Raw genomic sequence first — 25,901 nt, forward strand, 5'->3', positions numbered from 1 at the left:
CCTTCTGACTTTGAGTGTGGTGGTAACAGGTGAACATGTGCTCAAATTTTTAAAGGCATATTGTCAAGATGCAGGTGTAATTAGTCCAGAATATCTCATCTGAGAAAGAATTCTAGAGGAGGAGGAGAGAGAAAAAGTGACTTTTTTTTTCAGCTAAACGTGTCCCAGATCAAGAGCTGTGTCTACTCTGCTTTCTGGAATGCCTTGCATTTAGTACTTGCAAATCTTCACTTCTATACCTGTGTTTTTTCTCCCTAATAAGTTTTTCTTAACTACTTTTAAAAATGCTTATGATAGTCGAGGGTGTCTGAAAAATTTTTCTATATACAAGAATCTTCTCTACATCATGGCTTTTTATATGCCATGTAAGATTCTCACCATGAATTTGTGATCTGCAATATTAAAAATGTTCTCCTTGTGGCTGATGAACATGGAGAGGGGTGGATACTCAATATTTCTGTGGGGAAAACCTGGGGTTCTTAGTAAAGACATAGAATATGTAATGTTGAGGTTCTATCTGTGTTCTTTATTATCTGTATGCATTACACAATTAAGAAAATACTCATTTAAACAGGATGGCATTTATTACCCAGAAAGCTCTGAAAAAATTATCAAGAGATACCTCCTTATTAGGGTGCTATAGAAAGACTACTTAAAATCACTATTACAAATTACAGAACATGAAAGATATCTGTATCTTGAACTTCCCATAAAACTGATGTTTTCTTATGATTAAATTCAGACTGTAATTTAGTGGGTACAATATCTCAGTAGTAATGTCGTGTCCTTCTGGGTGCATCAGCACACTATAAAAACCTGTCCTAGTGCAGTTGATGTTGATGCTAATAACTCAATAAGCTCTCTTACAGATTTTTTCACTATAGAATTATTTTTCTCTTCATCATTAGATATCTTTATGGAGCTGATGTGCATAAACCATCACGTTTAATCTGGCTGCCTTTTGTTTTTTGTCTTTTTCTTTTTTTTAGGTTTTCTTTACATTTATTTTTCTTTGGTAAATGAAAGCTCTCATCTTTGTTTACAGGCTAGAAAAACTAAAAAAAAAAACAAAAAACAAAAACAACAGGCTCTTCCACTTACTGGATGTTTGACAAAATAGTCTTTTGGGGCCAAAACATTGGCATTACTGGTGAGCTTGGTAGAGATTCATTAACTCAGACTTTATTTCAGATCTCCCCAAAAAATAATCTGCATTAACAAGATGTCCAGTTTATTGTACACGTTAAAATTTGAGTGGTACCTTCTAACTCAAGATGTCTATTTTGTCTGAAAAATATAAACAACTATGTCTTTTTCATCTGAAAAATATACATAACTCATTCTGCATTATGTAAACGTAGCACTCAAAAATGTATGTTAGTGTTTATGCCTTCAATTTTACATGTTATCTTCCAGACAAGTATCACATATACACTGATGTGGATATTTTGCCACTCTATTTTCTCAGAGTTAGAGAATACATTAGAAAATGTTCATGTGTTGACAATTATTTTATTGGATAATTTCAATCACTCTTATAAGTCAGAACCAGTTCTATTTACTCTAATTTTACCTTGAGTCAAATGAAAAATTCTGCCGATAGCCACTTTGTAAATATGTGTGTTTGTGTGTGTTTTCCAGGGACTGTTGACATTTAGGGATGTGGCCATAGAATTCTCTCTGGAGGAGTGGCAACACCTGGACATTGCACAGCAGAATTTATATAGAAATGTGATGTTAGAGAACTACAGAAACCTGGCCTTCCTGGGTGAGGATAACTTTAATACAAAATTCCTCACATAAACTAAAGCTTTTATTTTTCTTTAGAATGTTTTCTGGTAATTTACGCATTCAGATTTCTGTTTTCAAGAAAATACTGGGGATTTGTCTGTTGAGAAAGGAATTTCTTCAAGATGTTTCATCTTGACCTGAACTTTCCACATTCCTGAGCTAATCTGTGTCCTGCACTTTAGATTAAGGCTAATTTCAGAAGTTTAGTGGCATAAAATATTGTTACATCTTAAAATCCATTTGGCATCACCAATTTTTGATTCAGTAGTACCAGGCAGTGAAATTAAGAACCTAAAAAATTAAAATATTTCCTAAATATTTAAAAATTTCTGTTATAAATTAGTGTATTAGAATAACTTTGTTAGCATATTCTATTATATCCTCCTTACTGAGCACATTACTAAGTTGGTAATTGGAGAATATAAGCAAGATTCATTTAGTTATTTTTAATAAAACAGGTATTGCTGTCTCTAAGCCAGACCTGATCACCTGTCTGGAACAAGGGAAAGAGCCCTGGAATATGAAGCGACATGAGATGGTGGATGAACCCCCAGGTAGGTGAGAGTGAATACAACAGATGACATGGATGAGAGGTCCAAAGTCAAGAAGAAAGCCACTCTTTAAAGTGATTTAAGAAGCTGTGATCCAAAGGAAATAGTTTCTGGGAAGCCTAAATTTTTTTTTTAAATTATACTCTCACATAGGGGCATCTTCTGCTTATGCCTATAAAATCTAAGAATTCTACTTTCCCTTCAATGATCTTCCTCCAAGTTTACAGTGACAGCCGAAGTACTGTTCATGGCATACAAAAGAGTGTACAATCTGACTTCTTTTTTCTTGTTTTGTGGACAGACAGATCTGTCTCCATAATTTTGAGATACTGTATGTTAAACTGTTTTTTAAGTTCTCTTTTTGCATCATGTCTGAAATGTGTGAGAGTAGTAGTTTCTGTTATATTGGGTTTTTTCTTTTTGGTTTATTTTTCTGCACATTTCATCCTGTTTTCATTACTGTAGTCTTGAAATATAGTTTGAAAGTACAAAGTAGGATGTCCTTCTGCTTTGTTCTTTTTCCTCAAGATTGCTTTGACTATTCAAAGTTTATTGTAGTTTCATGTCCATTTTAGGATTGGATTTTTCATTACTGTGAAGAAAAACACTGGAATTTTGATAAGGAGTTCTTTAAATCTACAGGTCACTTTGGATAATATGGCAGTTTCATAATACTTATTCTTTCAATAGAAATAAAACATTTTAAAATTTATTAGTGTCCTCTCTAATTTTTTTCATTGATATATCTTTCACTTGAAAGATTTATGAGCTCCTTGTTTAAATTTGTTCTAAAATTGAGTATTTCATTGATATTGTACATAAGTTTTTTTTTCCTCTATTTTATCAGATAGTTTAAGTGTATGGAACCATATCTTGTATATTAATTTTATATTTTGCTAATTAACTGAGTGTATTCATTAATTTAAACAGGTTTTAATGTACTCTCTCTATATACATATATATATGATTACATGATCTACAAACAGCAACATTTTACTTATTGGTCTTCAATTTCAATGACTTTAAATTTTTCTTTTGACTATTTTGTCTTCCACATGCTTTCAGTGCTATGTTAAAATAGAAGCTAGTTTTGCATTAGTGTCTGTAAATTTGAAGGAGCAAACACCTCTTCAAGTTTCTATAAACTGGTTTCAGAAAGTAAAAATGTGTTTTTGTTGGGCCCCCAGAGTGATAGAATGTCCTCTGGGTTTGTAGTGAAGAGGGGTTGTAGCTTGGCCTTAAGGCTGCTGGGTTTGCACAAGGGTCCACCTTCAGTTGTCTTCTTAAAAGGAGCTTGGATAGTTGTAATTCTCATTTAATTTTTGGACAGATTGAATATCCTTCAGGACTTTGCTGTGCAGGGCAGACCCAAGGGCAGGTTTCTGCACTCAGGCCTGCATATGGTGAGTTTTATATCAGGATGTGGATGAGCATGGCTTTCACTGAGTACAGGAGAGGATTTTCCGAGGTAACTTTGGGTTTCTACATAGGCAAAACCGGCCATGAACTATGGCTCAGGGAGCTGGAACTGAGTCATGGAACTGCTTCAGGGACCACAGTAAAGGTCAAGGTCTGCAGGCCTGCCAGCATGGCTCTAAATGGGTGTATTTCTCCAGGCCTCTGGAAAGGCAGGACCCCCCCAGACTGTGACTGGGAAGAGTTTGGGATGTTTACAGAGTAAGTTTAAAATTCTCAGGGGAACCAAGTTAGGTGGAACAATTTCTTGTCTTTAGCCAAAAACAGTAGTTCTGTAGTTTGCCACCTGAATGAGGACCTGCCTTCTGAAAAGGGTTACCTTCAGTCTTGGGCTTTAGCAGAGTTTCACAACTCCTTTCCTGGATCTCAGAGTTCTTTTAAAGGCATTTATTTTTGATCTGGGGTATTGTAACATAACCCAGGCAGGTCTTAATATTTTGATCAAAAGCAATTCTCCAACTTTCATGTACCATGTAGCTGTCATTACAGGTGTGAACCATGATGCCTGGTTCTCTCATAAAGGCATTTTTGTCAGCAATGGCTGACAAATTTTCTTGCTGACAGAGGATAAGCAAATAAGGCACCTTTAATTTTTTATCTTATTAATGCCACTCTCCATATAAATTTTAACTGTTTTCTACTTCAAATTTGTCTGTAATTTTAGATTCAGACATTTAGGGCAATATAATAGAATATACATGTCGTGCCTGAATTAAATTAGATAATTAGTATGCAGGCAGGCAAAAAGGAATTATAGAGCCAGGCGCGGTGGCTCACGCCTCTAATCCCTGCACTTTGGGAGGCTGAGGTGTGTGGATCACGAGATCAGGAGATTGAGACCATCCTGGCTAACACGATGAAACCCCGTCCCTACTAAAAGTACAAAAAATTAGCCGGGCATGGCGGCACGCGCCTGTAGTCTGAGCTACTAGGGAGACTGAGGCAGGAGAATCGCTTGAACCTGGGAGGTGGGGGTTGCAGTGAGCCAAAATCATGCCACTTTGCTTCTAAACTTGGATTACAGTAGTTTTATTTTGTGTAAAATAACATGTATTTAAAACATAAAAATTGAGACTAGTTTCTTTTAAATGCTTATCTATTAAAAGTTTCTCATTAGCATCTCCTAATTATGATTTTACTGCATTTACTCTGAAATTTTATTGCTACATAATAGATGCCATTAATTTAAAACACCTGCCTTCCTTGAATGCACAGTTACAGTCAAACATTGCAGTTATCTAGACAAATTGTTTGTTAATGTACATTAATGTTGCCAACTAGATTTTATGAGTAAACATTTCTTTCATTATTATCTTCCAGTTCTATATTAGTGTGTTTTTTAAGTGCAGGTTTCTTAATATCAGTTTATTGTGTCTATTGATTTCGTGCATTATAATTTTAGACAATCGGCAATTCTGTTTGTATACTTTAAGTCAGTGTCTGGTTTAATTAAAAGATAAATGAGCCATATGTCTGTCATAGTCAGATTATCTATATGTGTGTGTTTATGTCTACAAATATGACCCAAATTTGGTTATAGTTTACTTGTATATATTCTTTCTTAGCTAATTTTCTTTTTCTTTTTTCTTTTTTCTTTTCTTTTCTTTTTTTTTTTTTTGAGACAGAGTTTTGCTCTTGTTGCTGAGTCTGGAGTACAGTGCATGTGATCTCGGCTCACTGCAACTTCCTCCACCTCTCGGGTTTAAGTGATTCTCTAGCCTTAGCCTCCTGAGTAGCTGGGATTACAGGCATGTGCCACCATCCCAGGCTAATTTTGTATTTTTTTTTTTTTTAGTAGAGACGGGGTTTGCCATGTTGGTCAGGCAGGTCTCAAACTCCTGACCTTGGGTGATCTGCTTGCCTTGGTCTCCCAAAGTGCTGGGATTACAGGCATGAGCCACCGTACCCGGCCTCTTAACTCATTTTCAGTGTTGGTTTTATCTTGTCTAAGTGAGTAGCCTTGGAAATAGTCTTATTTTCACCATGTGTTTAATGATAAATATGTATTTTCTTTGTGTGAGAAAAACACTTTTGTGATTTGAAGGTAATTTTTAAAAAGATGTATAATTCTGTATTTTTTCCAGTTTTTAAAAATTATTGTTGTAAAAACACTTAGCATATAATTTACCTTCTTAAATCTATTTAAATGTACATGTCAGGGCCAGGCATGGTGGTGGCTCATATCTTTAAAACCAGGATTTTGAGAGGCCAGGACAGGAGGATTGCTTGAGCCCAAAAGTTTGATACAAGCCTGGGCAAAATATGGAGACACCCTCTCTACAAACATTTTTTTTCTAAGAAATAGCCAGGCATGGTGGTGTACACCTGTGGTCCCAGCTACTTGAGAGACTGAGGGGCAGGATTAGTTGAGCCTGGGATTGTGAGGCTGCAGTGAGCCATAATTGTGCCATTGCGTGCAAGCTTGGGTGACAGATTGAGACCCTGTTTCAAAAAAAAAAAAGTGTATATTTCAGGCATGTTAACTATATTCACATCGTTATGCAAAAGACTTCTAGAAATTTTACATCTTGTAAAACTAAAACTCAATATCCCTTAAATAACATTTACCTATTTTATGCTCTCTACAACCCTTGGCAAACACCCTTCCACCTTCTGTTTTTATGAGTGTAATTACTTTAAATATTTATATAAGTAAAATCATAACATCCATCATTTCATTACTGGTTTATTTCAGTGGACATAATATTCTCAAAGTGTATCTTTAAAAGTGACAAGATTTTTTTTTTTCACTGTTAAATATTCTTCTTTATTTTCCATTTCAGTAAAACAATAGCTTAAGATGCAGGGTGAATCTATATTTCCTTTTTTAATTTTATATTTTAATATTATTATACTACAAGTTTTAGGGTACATGTGCACAATGTGCAGGTTAGTTACATATGTATACATGTGCCATGCTGGTGTGCTGCACCCATTAGCTCGTCATTTACCATTAGGTATATCTCCTAATGCTATCCCTTCCCCCTCCCCCCACCCCACAACAGTCCACAGAGTGTGATGTTCCCCTTCCTGTGTTCATGTGTTCTCATTGTTCAATTCCCACCTATGAGTGAGAATATGCAGTGTTTGGTTTTTTGTTCTTGCGATAGTTTACTAAGAATGATGATTTCCAGTTTCATCCATGTCCCTACAAAGGACATGAACTCATCATTATTGATGGCTGCATAGTATTCCATGGTGTATATGTGCCACATTTTCTTAATCCAGTGTATCATTGTTGGACATTTGGGTTGGTTCCAAGTCTTTGCTATTGTGAATACTGCCACAATAAACATACTTGTGCATGTGTCTTTATAGCAGCATGATTTATAGTCCTTTGGGTATCTACCCAGTAATGGGATGGCTGGGTCAAATGGTATTTCTAGTTCTAGATCCCTGAGGAATCGCCACACTGACTTCCACAATGGTTGAACTAGTTGACAGTCCCACCAACAGTGTAAAAGTGTTCCTATTTCTCCACATCTTCTCCAGCACCTGTTGTTTCCTGACTTTTTAATGATCGCCATTCTAACTGGTGTGAAATGGTATCTCATTGTGGTTTTGATTTGCATTTCTCTGATGGCCAGTGATGATGAGCATTTTTTCATGTGTTTTTTGGCTGCATAAATGTCTTCTTTTGAGAAGTGTCTGTTCATGTCCTTTGCCCACTTTTTGATGGGGTTGTTTTTTTCTTGTAAATTTGTTTGAGTTCATTGTAGATTCTGGATATTAGCCCTTTGTCAGATGAGTAGGTTGCGAAAATTTTCTCCCATTTTGTAGGTTGCCTGTTGACTCTGATGGTAGTTTCTTTTGCTGTGCAGAAGCTCTTTAGTTTAATTAGATCCCATTTCTCAATTTTGGCTTTTGTTCCCATTGCTTTTGGTGTTTTAGACATGAAGTCCTTGCCCATGCCTATGTCCGGAATGGTAATGCCTAGGTTTTCTTCTAGGGTTTTTATGGTTTTAGGTCTAACGTTTAAGTCTTTAATCCATCTTGAATTGATTTTTGTACAAGGTGTAAGGAAGGGATCCAGTTTCAGCTTTCTACATACGGCTAGCCAGTTTTCCCAGCACCATTTATTAAATAGGGAATCCTTGCCCCATTGCTTGTTTTTCTCAGGTTTGTCAAAGATCAGATAGTTGTAGATATGTGGTGTTCTTTCTGAGGGCTCTGTTCTGTTCCATTGATCTATATCTCTGTTTTCGTACCAGTACCATGCTGTTTTGGTTACTGTAGCCTTGTAGTATAGTTTGAAGTCAGGTAGCATGATGCCTCCAGCTTTGTTCTTTTGGCTTAGGAGTGACTTGGTGATGCGGGCTCTTTTTTGGTTCCATATGAACTTTAAAGTAGTTTTTTCCAATTCTCTGAAGAAAATCATTGGTAGCTTGATGGGGATGGCATTGAATCTATAAATTACCTTGGGCAGTATGGCCATTTTCATGATATTGATTCTTCCTACCCATGAGCATGGAATGTTCTTCCATTTGTTTGTATCCTCTTTTATTTCATTGAGCAGTGGTTTGTAGTTCTCCTTGAAGAGGTCCTCCACATCCCTTGTAAGTTGGATTCCTAGGTATTTTATTCTCTTTGAAGCAATTATGAATGGGAGTTCACTCATGATTTGGCTGGTTTTTTGAAAGGATCAACAAAATTGATAGACCACTAGCAAGACTAATAAAGAAAAAAACATAGAAGAATCAAATAGATGCAATAAAAAATGATAAAGGGAATATCACCACTGATCCCACAGAAATTACAAAGTACCATCAGAGAATACTACAAACACCTCTATGCAAATAAACTAGAAAATCTAGATGAAATGGACAAATTCCTTGACACATACACTCTCCCAAGAGTAAACCAGGAAGAAGCTGAATCTCTGAAGAGACCAATAAAAGGAGCTGAAATTGTGGCAATAATCAAGAGCTTACCAATGAAAAAGAGTCCTGGATCAGATGGATTCACAGCCAAATTCTACCAGAGGTGCAAGGAGGAACTGATACCATTCCTTCTGAAACTATTCCAATCAATAGAAAAAGAGGGAATCCTCCCTAACTCATTTTATGAGGCCAGCATCATCCTGTTACCAAAGCCGGGCAGAGACACAACCAAAAAAGAGAATTTTAGACCAATATCCTTGATGAACATCGATGCAAAAATCCTCAATAAAATACTGGCAAACTGAATCCAGCAGCACATCAAAAAGCTTATCCACCATGATCAAGTGGGCTTCATCCCTGGGATGCAGGGCTGGTTCAATATATGCCAATTAATCAATAAATGTAATCCAGCATATAAACAGAACCAAAGACAAAAACCACATGATTATATAATAGATGCAGAAAAGGCCTTTGACAAAATTCAATGACACTTCATGCTAAAAACTCTCAATAAATTAGGTATTGATGTGACGTATCTCAAAATAATAAGAGCTATCTATGCCAAACCCACAGCCAATATCATACTGAATGGGCAAAAACTGGAAGCATTCCCTTTGAAAACTGGCACAAGACAGGGATGCCCTCTCTCAACACTCCTATTCAACATAGTGTTGGATGTTCTGGCCAGGGCAATTAGGCAGGAGAAGGAAATAAAGGGTATTCAATTAGGAAAAGAGGAAGTCAAATTGTCCCTGTTTGCAGATGACATGATTGTATACCTAGAAAACCCCATTGTCTCAACCCAAAATCTCCTTAAGCTGATAAGCAACTTCAGCAATGTCTCAGGATACAAAATCAATGTACAACAATCACAAGCATTCTTATACACCAATAACAGAGAGCCAAATCATGAGTGAACTCCCATTCATAATTGCTTCGAAGAGAATAAAATACCTAGGAATCCAACTTACAAGGGATGTGGAGGACCTCTTCAAGGAGAACTACAAACCACTGCTCAATGAAATAAAAGAGGATACAAACAAATGGAAGAACATTCCATGCTCATGGGTAGGAAGAATCAATATCATGAAAATGGCCATACTGCCCAAGGTAATTTATAGATTCAATGCCATCCCCATCAAGCTACCAATGATTTTCTTCAGAGAATTGGAAAAAACTACTTTAAAGTTCACATGGAACCAAAAAAGAGCCCGCATCGCCAAGTCACTCCTAAGCCAAAAGAACAAAGCTGGAGGCATCATGCTACCTGACTTCAAACTATACTACAAGGCTACAGTAACCAAAACAGCATGGTACTGGTACGAAAACAGAGATATAGATCAATGGAACAGAACAGAGCCCTCAGAAAGAACACCACATATCTACAACTATCTGATCTTTGACAAACCTGAGAAAAACAAGCAATGGGGCAAGGATTCCCTATTTAATAAATGGTGCTGGGAAAACTGGCTAGCCGTATGTAGAAAGCTGAAACTGGATCCCTTCCTTACACCTTGTACAAAAATCAATTCAAGATGGATTAAAGACTTAAACGTTAGACCTAAAACCATAAAAACCCTAGAAGAAAACCTAGGCATTACCATTCCGGACATAGGCATGGGCAAGGACTTCATGTCTAAAACACCAAAAGCAATGGGAACAAAAGCCAAAATTGAGAAATGGGATCTAATTAAACTAAAGAGCTTCTGCACAGCGAAAGAAACTACCATCAGAGTCAACAGGCAACCTACAAAATGGGAGAAAATTTTCGCAACCTACTCATCTGACAAAGGGCTAATATCCAGAATCTACAATGAACTCAAACAAATTTACAAGAAAAAAACAACCCCATCAAAAAGTGGGCAAAGGACATGAACAGACACTTCTCAAAAGAAGACATTTATGCAGCCAAAAAACACATGAAAAAATGCTCACCATCACTGGCCATCAGAGAAATGCAAATCAAAACCACAGTGAGTTACCATTTCACACCAGTTAGAATGGCAATCATTAAAAAGTCAGGAAACAACAGGTGCTGGAGAGGATGTGGAGAAATAGGAACACTTTTACACTGTTGGTGGGACTGTCAACTAGTTCAACCATTGTGGAAGTCAGTGTGGCGATTCCTCAGGGATCTAGAACTAGAAATACCATTTGACCCACCCAACCCATTACTGGGTAGATACCCAAAGGACTATAAATCATGCTGCTATAAAGACACATGCACAAGTATGTTTATTGTGGCAGTTTTCACAATAGCAAAGACTTGGAACCAACCCAAATGTCCAACAATGATAGACTGGATTAAGAAAATGTGGCACATATACACCATGGAATACTATGCAGCCATCAATAATGATGAGTTCATGTCCTTTGTAGGGACATGGATGAAATTGGAAATCATCATTCTCAGTAAACTATCGCAAGAACAAAAAACCAAACACCGCATATTCCCACTCATGGGGGGAATTGAACAATGAGAACACATGGACACAGGAAGGGGAAAATCACACTCTGGGGATTGATGTGGGATGGGGGGATGGGGGAGGGATAGCATTGGGAGATATACCTAGTGCTAGATGACGAGTTAATGGGTGCAGCACACCAGCATGGCACATGTATACATATGTAACTAACCTGCACATTGTGCACATGTACCGTAAAACTTAAAGTATAATAATAATAAAAAAAGAAAAATAAATAAAGTTAATATTGTTATGTGTGAATTTGATCCTGTCGTTAGGATGCTGGCTGGTTATTTTGCTCGTTAGTTGATGCAGTGTCTTTCTAGCCTCGACGGTTTCTACAATTTGGCATGATTTTGCAGTGGCTGGTACCGGTTGTTCCTTTCTGTGTTTAGTACTTCCTTCAGGAGCTCTTTTAGGGCAGGCCTGGTGGTGACAAAGTCTCTCAGCATTTGCTTGTCTGTAAAGTATTTTATTTCTCCTTCACTTATGAAGCTTAGTTTGGCTGGATATGAAATTCTGTGTTGAAAATTCTTTTCTTTAAGAATGTTGAATATTGGCCCCCACTCTCTTCTGGCTTGTAGAGTTTCTGCCGAGAGGTCCACTCTTAGTCCGATGGGCTTCCCTTTGTGGGTAGTCCGACCTTTCTCTCTGGCTGCCCTTAACATTTTTTCCTTCGTTTCAACTTTGGTCAATATGACAATTATGTGTCTTGGAGTTGCTCTTCTCGAGAAGTATCTTTGTGGCGTTCTCTGTATTTCCTGAATCTGAATGTTGGCCTGCCTTGCTAGATTAGGGAAGTTCTCCTGGATAATATCCTGCAGAGTGTTTTCCAACTTGGTTCCATTCTCTCCGTCACTTTCAGGTACACCAATCAGATGTGGATTTGGTCTTTTCACATAGTCCCATATTTCTTGGAGGCTTTTTTCAATTCTTTTTATTCTTTTTTCTCTAAACTTCCCTTCTCGCTTCATTTCATTCATTTCATCTTCTGTCACTGATACCCTTTCTTCCAGGTGATTGCATCAGCTCCTGAGGCTTCTGCATTCTTCATGTAGTTCTCAAGCCTTGGCTTTCAGCTCCATCAGCTCCTTTAAGCACTTCTCTATATTGGTTATTCTAGGTATACATTTGTCTAAATTTTTTTCAAAGTTTTTAACTTCTTTGCCTTTGGTTTGAATTTCCTCCTGTAGCTGGGAGTAGTTTGATCATCTGAAGGCTTCTTCTCTCAACTCGTCAAAGTCATTCTCCACCCAGCTTTGTTCCATTGATGGTGAGGAACTGCGTTCCTTTGGAGGAAGAGAGGTGCTCTGCTTTTTAGAGTTTCCAGTTTTTCTGCTGTTTTTTCCCCATCTTTGTGGTTTTATCTACTTTTGGTCTTTGACGATGGTGATGTACAGATGGGTTTTTGGTGTGGATGTCCTTTCTGTTTGTTAGTTTTCCTTCTAACAGACAGGACCCTCAGCTGCAGGTCTGTTGGAGTTTGCTAGATGTCCACTCCAGACCCTATTTGCTTGGGTGTCAGCAGCAGTGGCTGCAGAACAGCTGATTTTCGTGAACCGCGAATACTGCTGTCTGATCATTCTTCTGGAAGTTTTGTCTCAGAGGAGTACCCAGCCATGTGAGGTGTCAGTCTGCCCCTAGTGGGGGGTGCCTCCCAGTTAGGCTGCTCATGGTTCAGGGGTCCGGGACCCACTTGAGGAGTCTGTCTGCCTGTTCTCAGATCTCCAGCTGTGTGTTGGGAGAACCACTGCTCTCTTCAAAGCTGTCAGACAGGGATATTTAAGTCTGCAGAGGTTACTGCTGTCTTGTTTGTCTGTGCCCTGCCCCCAGAGGTGGAGCCTACAGAGGCAGGCAGGCCTCCTTGAGCTGTGGTGGGCTCCACCCAGTTTGAGCTTCCCGGCTGCTTTGTTTACCTAAGGAAGCCTGGGCAATGGCGGGTGCCCCTCCCCCAGCCTCGCTGCTGCCTTGCAGTTTGATCTCAGACTGCTGTGCTAGCAATCAGCGAGACTCTGTGGGCGTAGGACCCTCCGAGCCAGGTGCAGGATATAATCTGCTGTTGTGCGGTTATTTAAGCCCGTCGGAAAAGCGCAGTATTAGGGTGGGAGTGACCCGACTTTCCAGATGCCGTCTGTCACCCCTTTCTTTGACTAGGAAAGGGAACTCCCTGACCCCTTGCACTTCCTGAGTGAGGTAATGCCTAGCCCTGCTTCGGCTCTTCCACGCTTTGCTGCCCCCACTGTCCTGCGCCCACTGTCTGTCACTCCCTAGTGAGATGAACCCGGTACCTCGGATGGAAATGCAGAAATCACCCGTCTTCTGCATCACTCACGCTGGGAGCTGTAGACCGGAGCTGTTCGTATTTGGCCATCTTGGCTGCTCAAGATTTTTTTTTTAAAACTGAATCATATTCCATTCTATCATACATGTCTTCAAGGTCTTTTGTTGCATATTTTATATATAGATTCATAAATGTAATTGCTGTATTTGATAATTTTATTTTTAGTTATTTGAAGTACATTTATAACATAATAAAATAGTATGTGCATCCTTGTTTTCCACCAACGATGCACATGGGTTTCTTTTTTTTCTTTTCTTTTTTTTTTTTTGAAATGGAGTCTCCCTTTGTCACCCAGGCTGGAGCTCAGTGGCACAATCTTGACTCACTGCAACCTCCGCCTCCCGGGTTTCAAGCGATTCTCCTGTCTCAGCCTCCTTAGTAACTGGGATTACAGGCACGTGCCACCACATCTGGCTAATTTTTGTATTTTTAGTACAGATGGGGTTTCACCATGTTGATCAGGCTGGTCTTGAACTCCTGACCTCAAAATCCGCCCGCATCAGCCTCCCAAAGTGCTGGGATTACAGGCGTGAGCCACCTCACTTGGCCAAGGGTTTTACTGCATCATCAACAGATTAGGTGTTTTTAAAAAATTGATAGTGGTCATTTAAATGGATGTGATGGATTTTCTTTTTCGTTGTGATTTTTATGCATTTCTCTATAAATTAGAAATTTTTTGTGTCCTTTCAAATTTTTTGTTTGTGTTTTTCGATGAAAATGTATTTCAATTATTTTCCTATTTGTAAATAAATTCATTCAAATTTATTTAGTTTTAAAAGTCGTTTCTATTTTTTGAATATTGACTCCTATCACATGTGATTTGTAAATATTTTCACCCATTTTCTAGGAGGCCTTATCCCTCTATTAAATGTTTACTTACATATGCAGAAATTTGGAAGTGTAGTATAGTTAAATTTTTGCTTTTTTCCTTGTTGCTTATGCATTTAATGTTGTAGCTAAGAAAATGGCGCCAAGATTATTGTCATGTGTTTCCCCTATATATTTTTAAATGATGAAGAAGTTATCTGGCCTGGAATGGCACCTCACACCTATAATCCTAGCACTTTGGGGGGCTGAGTGGGGTGGATCATGAGGTCAGAAGTTTGAGACCAGCCTGACCAATATGGTGAAACCTCATTTCTACTAAAAATACAAAAAATTAGCCAGGCGTGGTGGTGGGTGCGTGTAAACCCAGGCTACTCGGGAGGCTGAGGAAGGAGAATAACTTAAATCCAGGAGACAGAGATTGGAGTGATTGGAGAGCATGCCACCACATTCCATCCTGGGCAACAGAATGAGACTCTGACTTCAAAAACAAAAAAAGTTATCTTCTTATGTCTAATTAAAAGATTTTTCCACATATGGTTTAAGGAAATAAACTTTATTATTGTATTTTTTATTTTTTTTGAGATGAAGTCTCACTCTGTCACCCAGGCCAGAGTGCAGTGACACAATCTCGGCTCACTGCAACCTCTGCCTCCTAGGTTCAAGCGATTCTCCTGTCTCAGCCTCCCAAGCAGCTGGGACTACAGGTGTGTGCGACCATGCCTGGCGAATTTTTGCATTTTTAGTAGAGAAGGGGTTTCACCATATTGGCTAGGCTGATCTCAAAACCCTGACCTCAGGTGATCCACCTGCCTAAGCCTCCCAGAGTGCTGGGATTACATGTGTGAGCCACCATTCCTGGCCTTATTTGTTTGTTCTTGAGATAGGGTCTCACTCTCTCAACCAGGCTGGTTTGCAGTGTTGTGATCATGGCTCACTGCAGCCTCAACCTCCCAAACTTAGAAGATTCTCTGATTGCAGCCTCTCAGGTAGCTGGGTTACAAGTGTGTAGCTTCATGTCCTCCCAGTTTTTTTGTATTTTTGGTTGAGACAAGGTTTTGCCGCATTGCTGAGGTTGGTCTCAAACTTCTGAGATCCAGTGAACACCCCACTTTAACCTCCCAAAGTCCTGAGATTACATTTCTTTTTATTAAGTAGTTTAATTAATTTATATTTAAAATTATTTCTTAAAATGAAATTACTAGTTTTATTGCTATTGTTTTATGTGTTTGAGTGGTATGTTTTTTCTTATTTACTGTTTTATTGCCTTATTTTAATTGTGTAGTGACATGCTTCAATTATTTTTTAAATTTTGTTTTGCATACTTTCTATAAATATTATCTTCATAATCCTCTTGTATATTAGTCTGTTTTCATGCTGCTGATAAAGACATACCTGAGACTGGGCAATTTACAAAAGAAAGAGGTTTATTGGTCACAGTTTCATGTGACTGAGGAGTCATCACAATCATGGTGGAAAGTGAAAGGCATGTCTCACATGGTGGCAGACAAAAGAAAGAGCTTGCGCAGGAAAACTGCCTTATAAAGCCTTCTGCTTTCATGAGACTTATTCTCTATCATGAGAACAGCACAGAAAACATCTGCCCCCATGATTCAATTACCTCCTACTGCATCCCTCCCACAACATATGGGAATTAAAGATGAGACTTGGGTTGGGACATGGCCAAACCACATCATCTTAAAAATGGAATTTACATAAAACATCTAAAACTTAAAAATATATTTTAATCTCATGACAACTTCAGTTGAATATAAAAATTATACCTCTGTATTTTTCAGTTTATTAATATAAAAATTATTTTGTGTATTAACATTTATGCAGATTTTTATTGTTTTAAATATTCTACAGAAGAGCTTTAAGGGTTTTATGCATCATCATTATGATAGTAAAGATTTCTACATTTGTATATTTACATTCAATAGAGAGCTTTATTTTTATATATGGTTTTATGATGCTGTCCAGTATTATTTTATTTTTAAATAAAATTGACTCATTTTAGCATTTCTTTGTTGTTGTTGTTGTTGTTGTTGTTGAGATGGAGTCTTGCTCTGTCACCCAGGCTGGAGTGCAGCGGGACAATCTCAGCTCCCTGCAAGCTCTGCCTCCCGGGTTCACGCCATTTTCCTGCCTCAGCCTCCTGAGTACCTGGAACTATACGCGGCTGCCACCATGCCTGGCTAATTTTGTTTTTTTTGTGTATTTTTAATAGAGACGGGGTTTCTCCATGTTAACCAGGATGGTCTCAATCTCCTGACCTCCCGTTTCTTTTTTTTATATGCAAACTCTCGCTGTATTATTCAGGCTGATCTGAATCTCCTGGTCTTTAGTGTTGTGACAGCTTTGGCCTCTTAAAACTGCAGGATTACAGGCATGAGCCACAGTGCCTGGCCATCATGTAGCATTTTTTTGTAGAACTGTGCTAGTGGTGATGAACTCCCTCAACTTTTATTTTGGAGATTTTTAGTTTTCATCCTATTTTTAAAGGGAAATAAATTTAAATCAAATATTCTTGGTTACAATTTTTGTTTGTTTGTTTTACTACATCAAAATTTGGGAAATTCTCACCTTTTATCTTCAAGTAACCACTGTATTGTTTTTTTTTCCCCATATTCTTCTTCTAAGATTACCTTAATGAATATATTGATCTACTTGATGGTGTCTAATAAGTTTTACATTCCATGTTTTAATTTTGTTTTGCAATTTTATATTTTTGTGTTATATATTCTAGCATATGCCACCATACATCTGATATTTGTGTTTTGATTTTTTAGTATATATCATAATTGTGCATGACAATATTTAACTTTGTACAATTTAAGACCCTGTGGAGCAAAATCAAATATGAATCAGCCATATGTCTTTTTCCAGTAGAATTATATCTGTTTGTTTGCCTGTATAAATGTTATCTTTTTTAAATTTTTTTTTTGAGACAGAGTTTTGCTCTTCTTGACCAGGCTGGAGTGCAGTGGCACGATCTTGGCTCACTGCAACCTCCGCCTTCCAGGTTCAAGTGATTTTCCTGCCTCAGCCTCCCAATTAGCTGGGATTACAGGCGCCCACTACCAAGCCTGGATAATTATTGTATTTTTAGTAGAGACAGAGTTTACCATGTTGGCCGGGCTGGTCTTGAACTCCTGACCTCATGATCCACCCTCTTCAGCCTCCCAAAGTGCTGGGATTACAGGTGTGAGCCACCACACCAGGCTACCCTTGGTTTTTTTTTGTTTGTTTTTTGTATATTTGTTGTATAGGTTTGTTGTGAATGGTTTTCTAATCCTTTGTAGATGAGTAGTTATAAAATTCTTGTAATTTCAACATCCTATTTATGAATCTATATGATTTTTGTGTGGGAGAAACACTTTTGGATTTGAATATAATTTAAAACTCCCATAACTCTGTATCTCTTTTGGGTATTATTATTTTTACTTGTCAAAAAAATAACAAATTTACCACAAAATATTTTTAAATATTCAGTTAAGTCACACTAATTATCTTGACATTGTCATGCAACATATTGCTAGAATGTTTTTATCTTGCAAAGCTAAATCTTAATACATACTGACTACCACTTTTTTCTTGTTTTTTTTCTTTTTTGAGGTGGAGTCTTGCTCTGTCACCCAGGCTGAAGTGCAGTGGCACCATCTCAGCTCAGTGCAACCTCCACCTCCTAGGTTCAATTGATTCTCATGCCTCAGCCTCCTTAGTAGCTCAGATTACAGGTGACCGCCATCATGCCTGGCTAATTTTTGTATTTTTATTAGAGATGGGGTTTCACCATCTTGGCCAGGCTGGTTTTAAACTCCTGACCTTAGGTGATCCACCCGCTTGGGTCTCTCAAAGTGCTCAGATTACAGGTGTGAACCACCATGCCTGGCCCCAATTTTTTCTGTTTTATGGCACTTTGCAAACGCCAGTCTGTTCTTTGTTTCTAAGAGTGTAACTCCTTCATATATTTCATACAATCTGTCGTTTTGTGGCTGGCTCATTTCATTTTACATAATGCCATCAACATTTATCTTTATAGTTCGTACAATATTTCCTGCTTTTTGAAGACTGAGTGATATTTCAGAATTTTTATATTTCAAATTATATCTACTGAATGATTTGGTGAAAGAAATCTGCCTTGCTTTTACCTATTGGCTTACAGTAACAATGCTGCAATAATTATCACTATGTAAATGACTCCTTATATGACCATGTATGTGAAAGTTTATATATGTGCTGCATTCTATTTTATTAGTCTACTTTTTCACCTTTATACTCATACCAAATTGTTTTAATTCTGTAGCTTTGTAGTGTGATTTAATCAAGAACTTTAATGCCTCCAGCATTGTTCCTTTTATTTTTTGAAGATTGTTGGGTACTTTATTGTCTCTTGAGATTCTATATACTTTTGGGGTTGCTGTTCCTGTTTCTTCAAAAATGCAGTGAGAAATTTGAAAAACATTCATTAAGTCTGTCTGTTGCATTGAGCTGGATGGACCTTTTCAGAATATTAATTATTTCAACCTTTGTTTAAAAGCACACTCAAGGGTGTGTTGTTTAATTTCTATGTATTTGTAAATTTTTCAGTTTTTCTGTCTTATTGTTTTATACTCGTACTCCATTTTACTCATAGAAAGTAGTTCATAGAAGTTTACTTTTAAAAAGTTTGGTAAGACTTCCTTTTTGGCTTAAGATGTGGTTTATCAAGTAAAATGTATGAGCTATTGAGAAAGAGGTGTATTCTGATGTTGTCGAGGAGTGTTCTCCATAACTCTGTTTGGAATAATTGTTTTATACTGCCTTTAAGTAGTCTGTTCCCTTATTAACATTCTTTCTTGTTTTATTTTTATTACAGAAAGTGTGGTATTAAAATATCTTGCTATAATTGTATTGCTTTGTATGTGTTTCTTCCATTCTGTCAATATTTGCTTTATATATTTGGAACCCTAATGTGAGACACACACACACACACCTGCGTGCGTGCACAAACACATACACACACACACACAAATATACACAAATTTTTCATAGGTTCCCAGTGAATGAATCTATTATTTTTTGATGTCCTTTGTTTCTTTGGAGTTTAAATTTAAAGTACATTTTATAAAATATTATAATTTTTGACTTAAGATGTAGCTTGTGTAAGATTATTTTGACTGTTTCTGCTCTCATTTGATTAATATTTGCATGGAATGTCTACTTTCTTCCTGCCTCTTCCAGTCTTTTTTTATCATTAGATTTCAACTGACTCTTGTAGAAAGGCAAGATGAATCTCAGTTTTTAAAATATTTTAATAAAACTATTTATTGAAAATATGTCTCAATTTAAAAGTTAATTTTATATATATTGAAATAATTTTCTGAAATAGAAAGACTTACTGTTATTTTATTAAGTATTTTATTTGATTCTTGCATCTTTGTCTTTTATTCTCTTTCCATCTTTCTTTGTGTCTTTTTGATATTTGTATTGATAGGCTTTGACTTATTTTGTTTTGTGTATTTATACAAATATTTTTGTGGTACATTGGGGATTACATATAACCTCTAAAAGATACAACAACATATTTTAATCTGGTAAATAAACTTAAGTTGCGTACAAAAATTTGTTCTTATTATACCTTCCCTCAAATTTGTCATTGATGTTGTTAATTATATCTTTTTATATTGTATATTCATTAATGAATATTTAAAATGTTTTCTATGCTTTTATCCTTCAAATTTCAGAGAATAATTAAAAATGTTTTCTGCACCACTAGGGTAATGCTAAGAAATTTGACTTTTGTGTATTTGCATATTTTTCCCAGAAAATCATGTATTTTTATATGATTCTGTGTTTTTATTGGAATCATGTTATTTTCAGTAGAAGGAACTCTTTTCAGCACCTTTTATATGTAGGGCATATGCATTTCCAATATACTTTTTTAGAATTTGGTTACTTTGGAAGGTTTTTACTTTTTTTATTTGGCAGGACAGATTTGCTGATGGTATTATTCTCAATTAATTAAACCTTTTTTTTTTCCACAATTTTTGTCATGACTACATCACACAGTTCCCTTATGGCCTGCAAAATTTTTGTTAACAGTTCACTGACTATCTCATAAGATTATGTTTGTAAATGGCACATCACTTTTTTTCTTTTTCTTTTTTTTTTTTGGAAACAAGAGTCTCACTGTATCCTCCAGCCAGGCTTGAGTGTAGTGGTGTGACCTGAGCTCACTGCAAGCTCCACTTCCTGGGTTCAAGTGGTTCCCCTTCCTGGGTTCAGCCTCAGCCTCCTGAGTAGCTGGGATTACAGGCATGCACCACCATGCCTGGCTAATTTTTATAGTTTTAGTAGAGACGGGGTTTTGCCATGTTGGTCAGGTTGGTCTTGAACTCCTGACCTCAGGTGATCGGCCCACCTTGGCCTCCCAAAGTGCCTGGATTACAGGTGTGAGCCACTGTGCCTGACCTGGCACATCAGTTTTATCTGGCAGCTTCAAAGGTAATCTTTTTGTCTGTGACTTTTGAAATTGTGCTTATGTATGTGTTTGTTATAAATATCTTTTTGTTATTCTAGTTTGTTTGTTGAGCTTTTTTATTTTTACATCTTTTTTTTTTTTTTTACTTTTAGGATCTGTCAGTTTTTTTGTGTATATTTTATCTCCACAATTTGTTTTTTGATATCTTAACTATTTTTTATTCTTGTCCTCATTTTTCTGATTTTCCATAGTTGTTTCTGTTCCCATTTTAATCAGTATTATTCAGTTTATTACCAATTATTAAAATTAATGTATACATCTTTTTTATGATTTCTTTCAGAAAATTTTGTGATATTTTTGGTGGGATTGTATTGCCCTATTTTGTATATATTATAATCCTTGATTAAGATTTAGACATTAAAAAAAGCTACTTGTCAAAATCTTATAATGTAGCTTTGTCATGGCATATTCTGAAAACAATTGTCTTTGCTGGTGATTATGAGAGTTTCTTAAACATATTCTTAGGATATGTGTTGTCTGAAATTTTATTTTTATTATTTAATTAGGAGAGATTACTCGTTAATTTGTAGCGTCATCACTTGCTACACCTTTTCCATTTCTGTGGTACTGCAGTCTCTCTGCTGCTGTAACATTTTTCTTTGGTCTCAGCAGACTCAAACTCTCATTCCAAAATATACCACCATTTCTTTCAGTACTTTATGTCATGAGAGACAGAAACCAGTGTCAGGAAAAAACCCTAAAAGCCAGAAATGGCAATGATTGTGCCGGTATTTTACCTTTCTTTTAAAACAGAAACCAAGAGTTGGCAATTTACTTGTAAAGACACTATGGTATAGTGGGAAACAGGAAAAGATGTATTGAGTAAATTTAACAGACTTTTCTTTTTCTTCTTTGTGTTTTTTTGCATTGTGCTCACCTGGGACACTGCACACACTTAAATCATTTATGAATTTTCCACAGATGTATTTTGGTCTGAATGTTTTTGTTACATTTATGTCTATGAAAGAATTAGAGCCTGTGGTATTTTGCAATGCTATCTTGTCTATGTAGTTTGTATAATTTTATAGGTAAGATTTTTAAACTATATTCATGTGAGTCTAGTAAGTGGAGTAATTTATTTATTTTTATTTTTTTTTCAGGTATGTGTCCTCATTTTGCTCAAGACCTTTGGCCAGAGCAGGGCATGGAAGATTCTTTTCAAAAAGCAATACTGAGAAGATATGGAAAATATGGACATGAGAATTTACAGTTAAGAAAAGGCTGTAAAAGTGTGGATGAGTATAAGGTGAACAAAGAAGGTTATAATGGACTTAACCAGTGTTTCACAACTGCCCAGAGCAAAGTATTTCAATGTGATAAATATTTGAAAGTCTTCTATAAATTTTTAAATTCAAACAGACCTAAGATAAGACATACTGAAAAGAAATCTTTCAAATGTAAAAAACGTGTCAAATTATTTTGCATGCTTTCACATAAAACCCAACACAAAAGCATTTATCATAGAGAGAAGTCCTACAAATGTAAAGAATGTGGAAAAACCTTTAATTGGTCCTCAACCCTTACTAATCATAGGAAAATTTATACTGAAGAGAAACCTTACAAATGTGAAGAATATAACAAATCTCCTAAGCAACTCTCAACCCTTACTACACATGAAATAATTCATGCTGGAGAGAAACTCTACAAATGTGAAGAATGTGGTGAAGCTTTTAATCGATCCTCAAATCTTACTACACATAAGATAATTCATACTGGAGAGAAACCTTACAAGTGTGAAGAATGTGGCAAAGCATTTATCTGGTCCTCAACCCTTACTGAGCATAAGAAAATTCATACTAGAAAGAAACCCTACAAGTGTGAAGAATGTGGCAAAGCATTTATATGGTCCTCAACACTAACTAGACATAAGAGGATGCACACTGGAGAGAAACCCTACAAATGTGAAGAATGTGGCAAAGCTTTTAGCCAGTCCTCAACCCTTACTACACATAAGATAATTCATACTGGAGAGAAACGCTACAAATGCTTAGAATGTGGCAAAGCTTTTAAGCAACTCTCAACTCTTACTACACATAAAATAATTCATGTTGGAGAGAAACTCTACAAATGTGAAGAATGCGGCAAAGGTTTTAATCGATCTTCAAATCTTACTACACATAAGATAATTCATACTGGAGAGAAACCTTACAAGTGTGAAGAATGTGGCAAAGCATTTATCTGGTCCTCAACCCTTACTAAACATAAGAGAATTCATACTAGAGAGAAACCCTACAAATGTGAAGAATGTGGCAAGGCATTTATATGGTCCTCAACCCTAACTAGACATAAGAGGATGCACACTGGAGAGAAACCCTACAAATGTGAAGAATGTGGCAAATCTTTTAGCCAATCCTCAACCCTTACTACACATAAGATAATTCATACTGGAGAGAAACCCTACAAATGTGAAGAATGTGGCAAAGCCTTTAACTGGTCCTCAACTCTTACTAAACATAAGATAATTCATACTGAAGAGAAACCCTACAAATGTGAAAAATGTGGCAAAGCCTTTAAGCAGTCTTCAATCCTTACTAACCATAAGAGAATTCATACTGGAGAGAAACCCTATAAATGTGAAGAATGTGGCAAATCTTTTAACCGGTCTTCAACTTTTACTAAACATAAGGTAATTCATACTGGAGTAAAACCCTACAAATGTGAAGAATGTGGCAAAGCATTTTTCTGGTCCTCAACCCTAACTAAACATAAGAGAATTCATACTGGAGAGCAACCCTACAAATGGGAAAAATTTGGCAAAGCCTTTAATCGGTCCTCGCACCTCACCACAGATAAGATAACTCATTGGAGAGAAATCTTACAAGTATGAATAATGTGCCAAAGCCTAAGAAAACCCTCAATTCTTAATAGATATAAGATTATTCCTACTGGAGAGAAACTACAAACCTGAGAGAGGCGCTAATGCTTTTGACAGTACCTAAAACTTTAAAGAAAATCATTCTGCTGAAAAATCCTAGAAATGTGAAGAATGTGAAAAAGCCTTTAAATGATTGTCACACTTGATTGTAGGTAAGATAATTCATACTGGAGAAAACTACCAGTGTGAACAACGTGGCCAAGCTTCGACAATGCTCACACCCTATTGCACAGGAAAGCATTTATACTTGAGAAGAAATGTACAAATATTGGCAAAGTAAAAAATCCATTAACACCTGCTCACATCTTACTCAAAATTGTAGAGTTCATAGTAAATAAAAGCATTAAAATTCTAATTACTCTCAGAAGATCTGTCAGAAAGTATGTCTTTAAAGTATAGAAGAGCATTTATTTTGAAAAAAACATTACACATATGAAGAGGATTGTAATATCTTTACTTGTACCACAGATCTTATTGTACACATTTTATACTAGAGAAAAACCCTCAGGCAGTTGTTAAAATTTTGTTGAACATCAGGGAGTTTAAGAAAACCCTGCAAGTATAATGAATTTGGAAAAACATTTTTTCAAAAACTACAAATTATAAAACACCAAAGTGTTCATACTAAAATATATTTTTGCAGATACATTAAATATGAAAGATATTCAATCCAAAATTAAGTCTATGTAAATATCAGGGAATAATTCACAGTAGAAATATCTAGGGCATTCAAGCTTTAGACATTACACTAAATCAGAGTGCTGAGTATAGAAAATAATACAAACAGATTTGTCTAAACATTTGTATATAACTTTAAAAATAGAATATTTTTTGGAGGGTTATAATTACATTCAAAGTACTTTTTTTTGAAAATACAGATTTTTTTTAAAAGTGAATAATGTGTTCAACTCTTAAATTCATGCTGTTTCATCATTGCTGGTGTATTCATATGTGAAAGCATGTGACTAATTGTTGCTGCATAAAAGATATGAGATTCTTTTTTATTAGGCATTATTTATGACCTTTTCTATGAAAAGATAAGGACATTAAAATGTAAGATGCGTGAGGAAAATTTAGGTAGAGAGGCTCTTTGTGGTTAACTTATAATATTGAGTGATGCATGAGGTAGGTGTTCAGAATAATATTCCTCTGCATTATTATGAATGAAAAGCATTCTTAATTTTAGTTAAAATTAAGTTAGTCATATGTTATTTTATTAATTGTACTTCTATGAAATAATATGCAGTCTATTTTTAAATTATAAATTATGTGTGAACTTAGCTTTTCAATTCAACATTTTTAACATATTAAATACTATTGTGAATTCAATGAAGTGTTCTTATGCCACTAACTTTAACCTATTCCCTTACTCAAGGATGTAGGTAAAAGATGGTAACAATACACTATTTGGTAAGATAATGTACTGACATCTCTAGCAATCTTTTTTGCCAGTGGCTTTAAATTGCCAATAAGTTAAAGAATATTGTTCCTATGGGTTAAATTTTTATTCTTATTTTCACATTTAAATTTATTTTTCTTAATTTTTGTGGATACATAATATGTGTATATATGTATGCCATATATGGTATATTTTGATGCAGGCATACTCTATATAATAATCACATTAGAGGAAATGAGATATCCATTACCTCTAGCATTTATTCTTTTTATTACAAGCAATTCAATTGTACACTTTTAGTTATTTTTAAATTTACAATGTTATTGATTACAGGGTCATTTTTATGGTCATAATAAAAAATTTTATACAAACGTGTAAAATCTATACATTTCTGAGTTCTGAATAAATATTTTTAAAAATTTTAATATATTTTTCTTTGAATATGTGACCTTTGCCTGCAAGCACATATGGACTCTTAGAATTGATTTACATAAAATTAAATATATACTTCTATTAAAGATAAACCTTAGGTGTAAATAAATTATGGAGTAAGTATGTTTGTGTGAGTATAAGTTTGAAACTATTTTTAGCAGCAAAAAGAAATACTCGAACAAAATAAATTATTTTAATAAGGTGTCTAATTTACTAGAAAACAAAAATTTTCAAAAATGCTGAAACCAAATCTATGCTATTTGCTTTGTATTGAATTTATTACTGTACAGTCTTTGTGCTTATGATTCAGAATCTCCGCATGCAAATTCTGTGTTTTAAC

General features: G+C 35.9%; 1 protein-coding gene across 30 annotated transcripts in view; it reads left to right on the forward strand.

Moving 5' to 3' along the window:
* The window catches only part of ZNF254 (zinc finger protein 254), a 96,520-nt gene extending 70,850 nt beyond the window's left edge, over positions 1–25,670 (forward strand). For 22 of the 30 annotated variants that reach the window (XM_047439750.1, XM_047439742.1, XM_047439743.1 and 19 more), the window contains 3 exons: positions 1,642–1,768; positions 2,250–2,345; positions 21,956–25,670. In XM_047439750.1, the coding sequence (XP_047295706.1) occupies positions 1,735–1,768; positions 2,250–2,345; positions 21,956–23,682 (1,857 nt within the window). In that variant the 5' untranslated portion in view covers positions 1,642–1,734 and the 3' untranslated portion in view covers positions 23,683–25,670. Of the gene's footprint in view, positions 1–1,641; positions 1,769–2,249; positions 2,346–2,917; positions 3,055–3,672; positions 3,746–20,725; positions 20,819–21,955 lie in introns of those variants that run through there. The other 8 variants (XM_011528448.4, NM_001278663.2, NM_001278678.2 and 5 more) reach the window with 5 other exon arrangements.
* Positions 25,671–25,901: the final 231 nt, after the last annotated feature.

This window comes from Homo sapiens, chromosome 19 (genome assembly GCF_000001405.40).
Source record: "Homo sapiens chromosome 19, GRCh38.p14 Primary Assembly".
Taxonomy (NCBI): domain Eukaryota; kingdom Metazoa; phylum Chordata; class Mammalia; order Primates; family Hominidae; genus Homo; species Homo sapiens.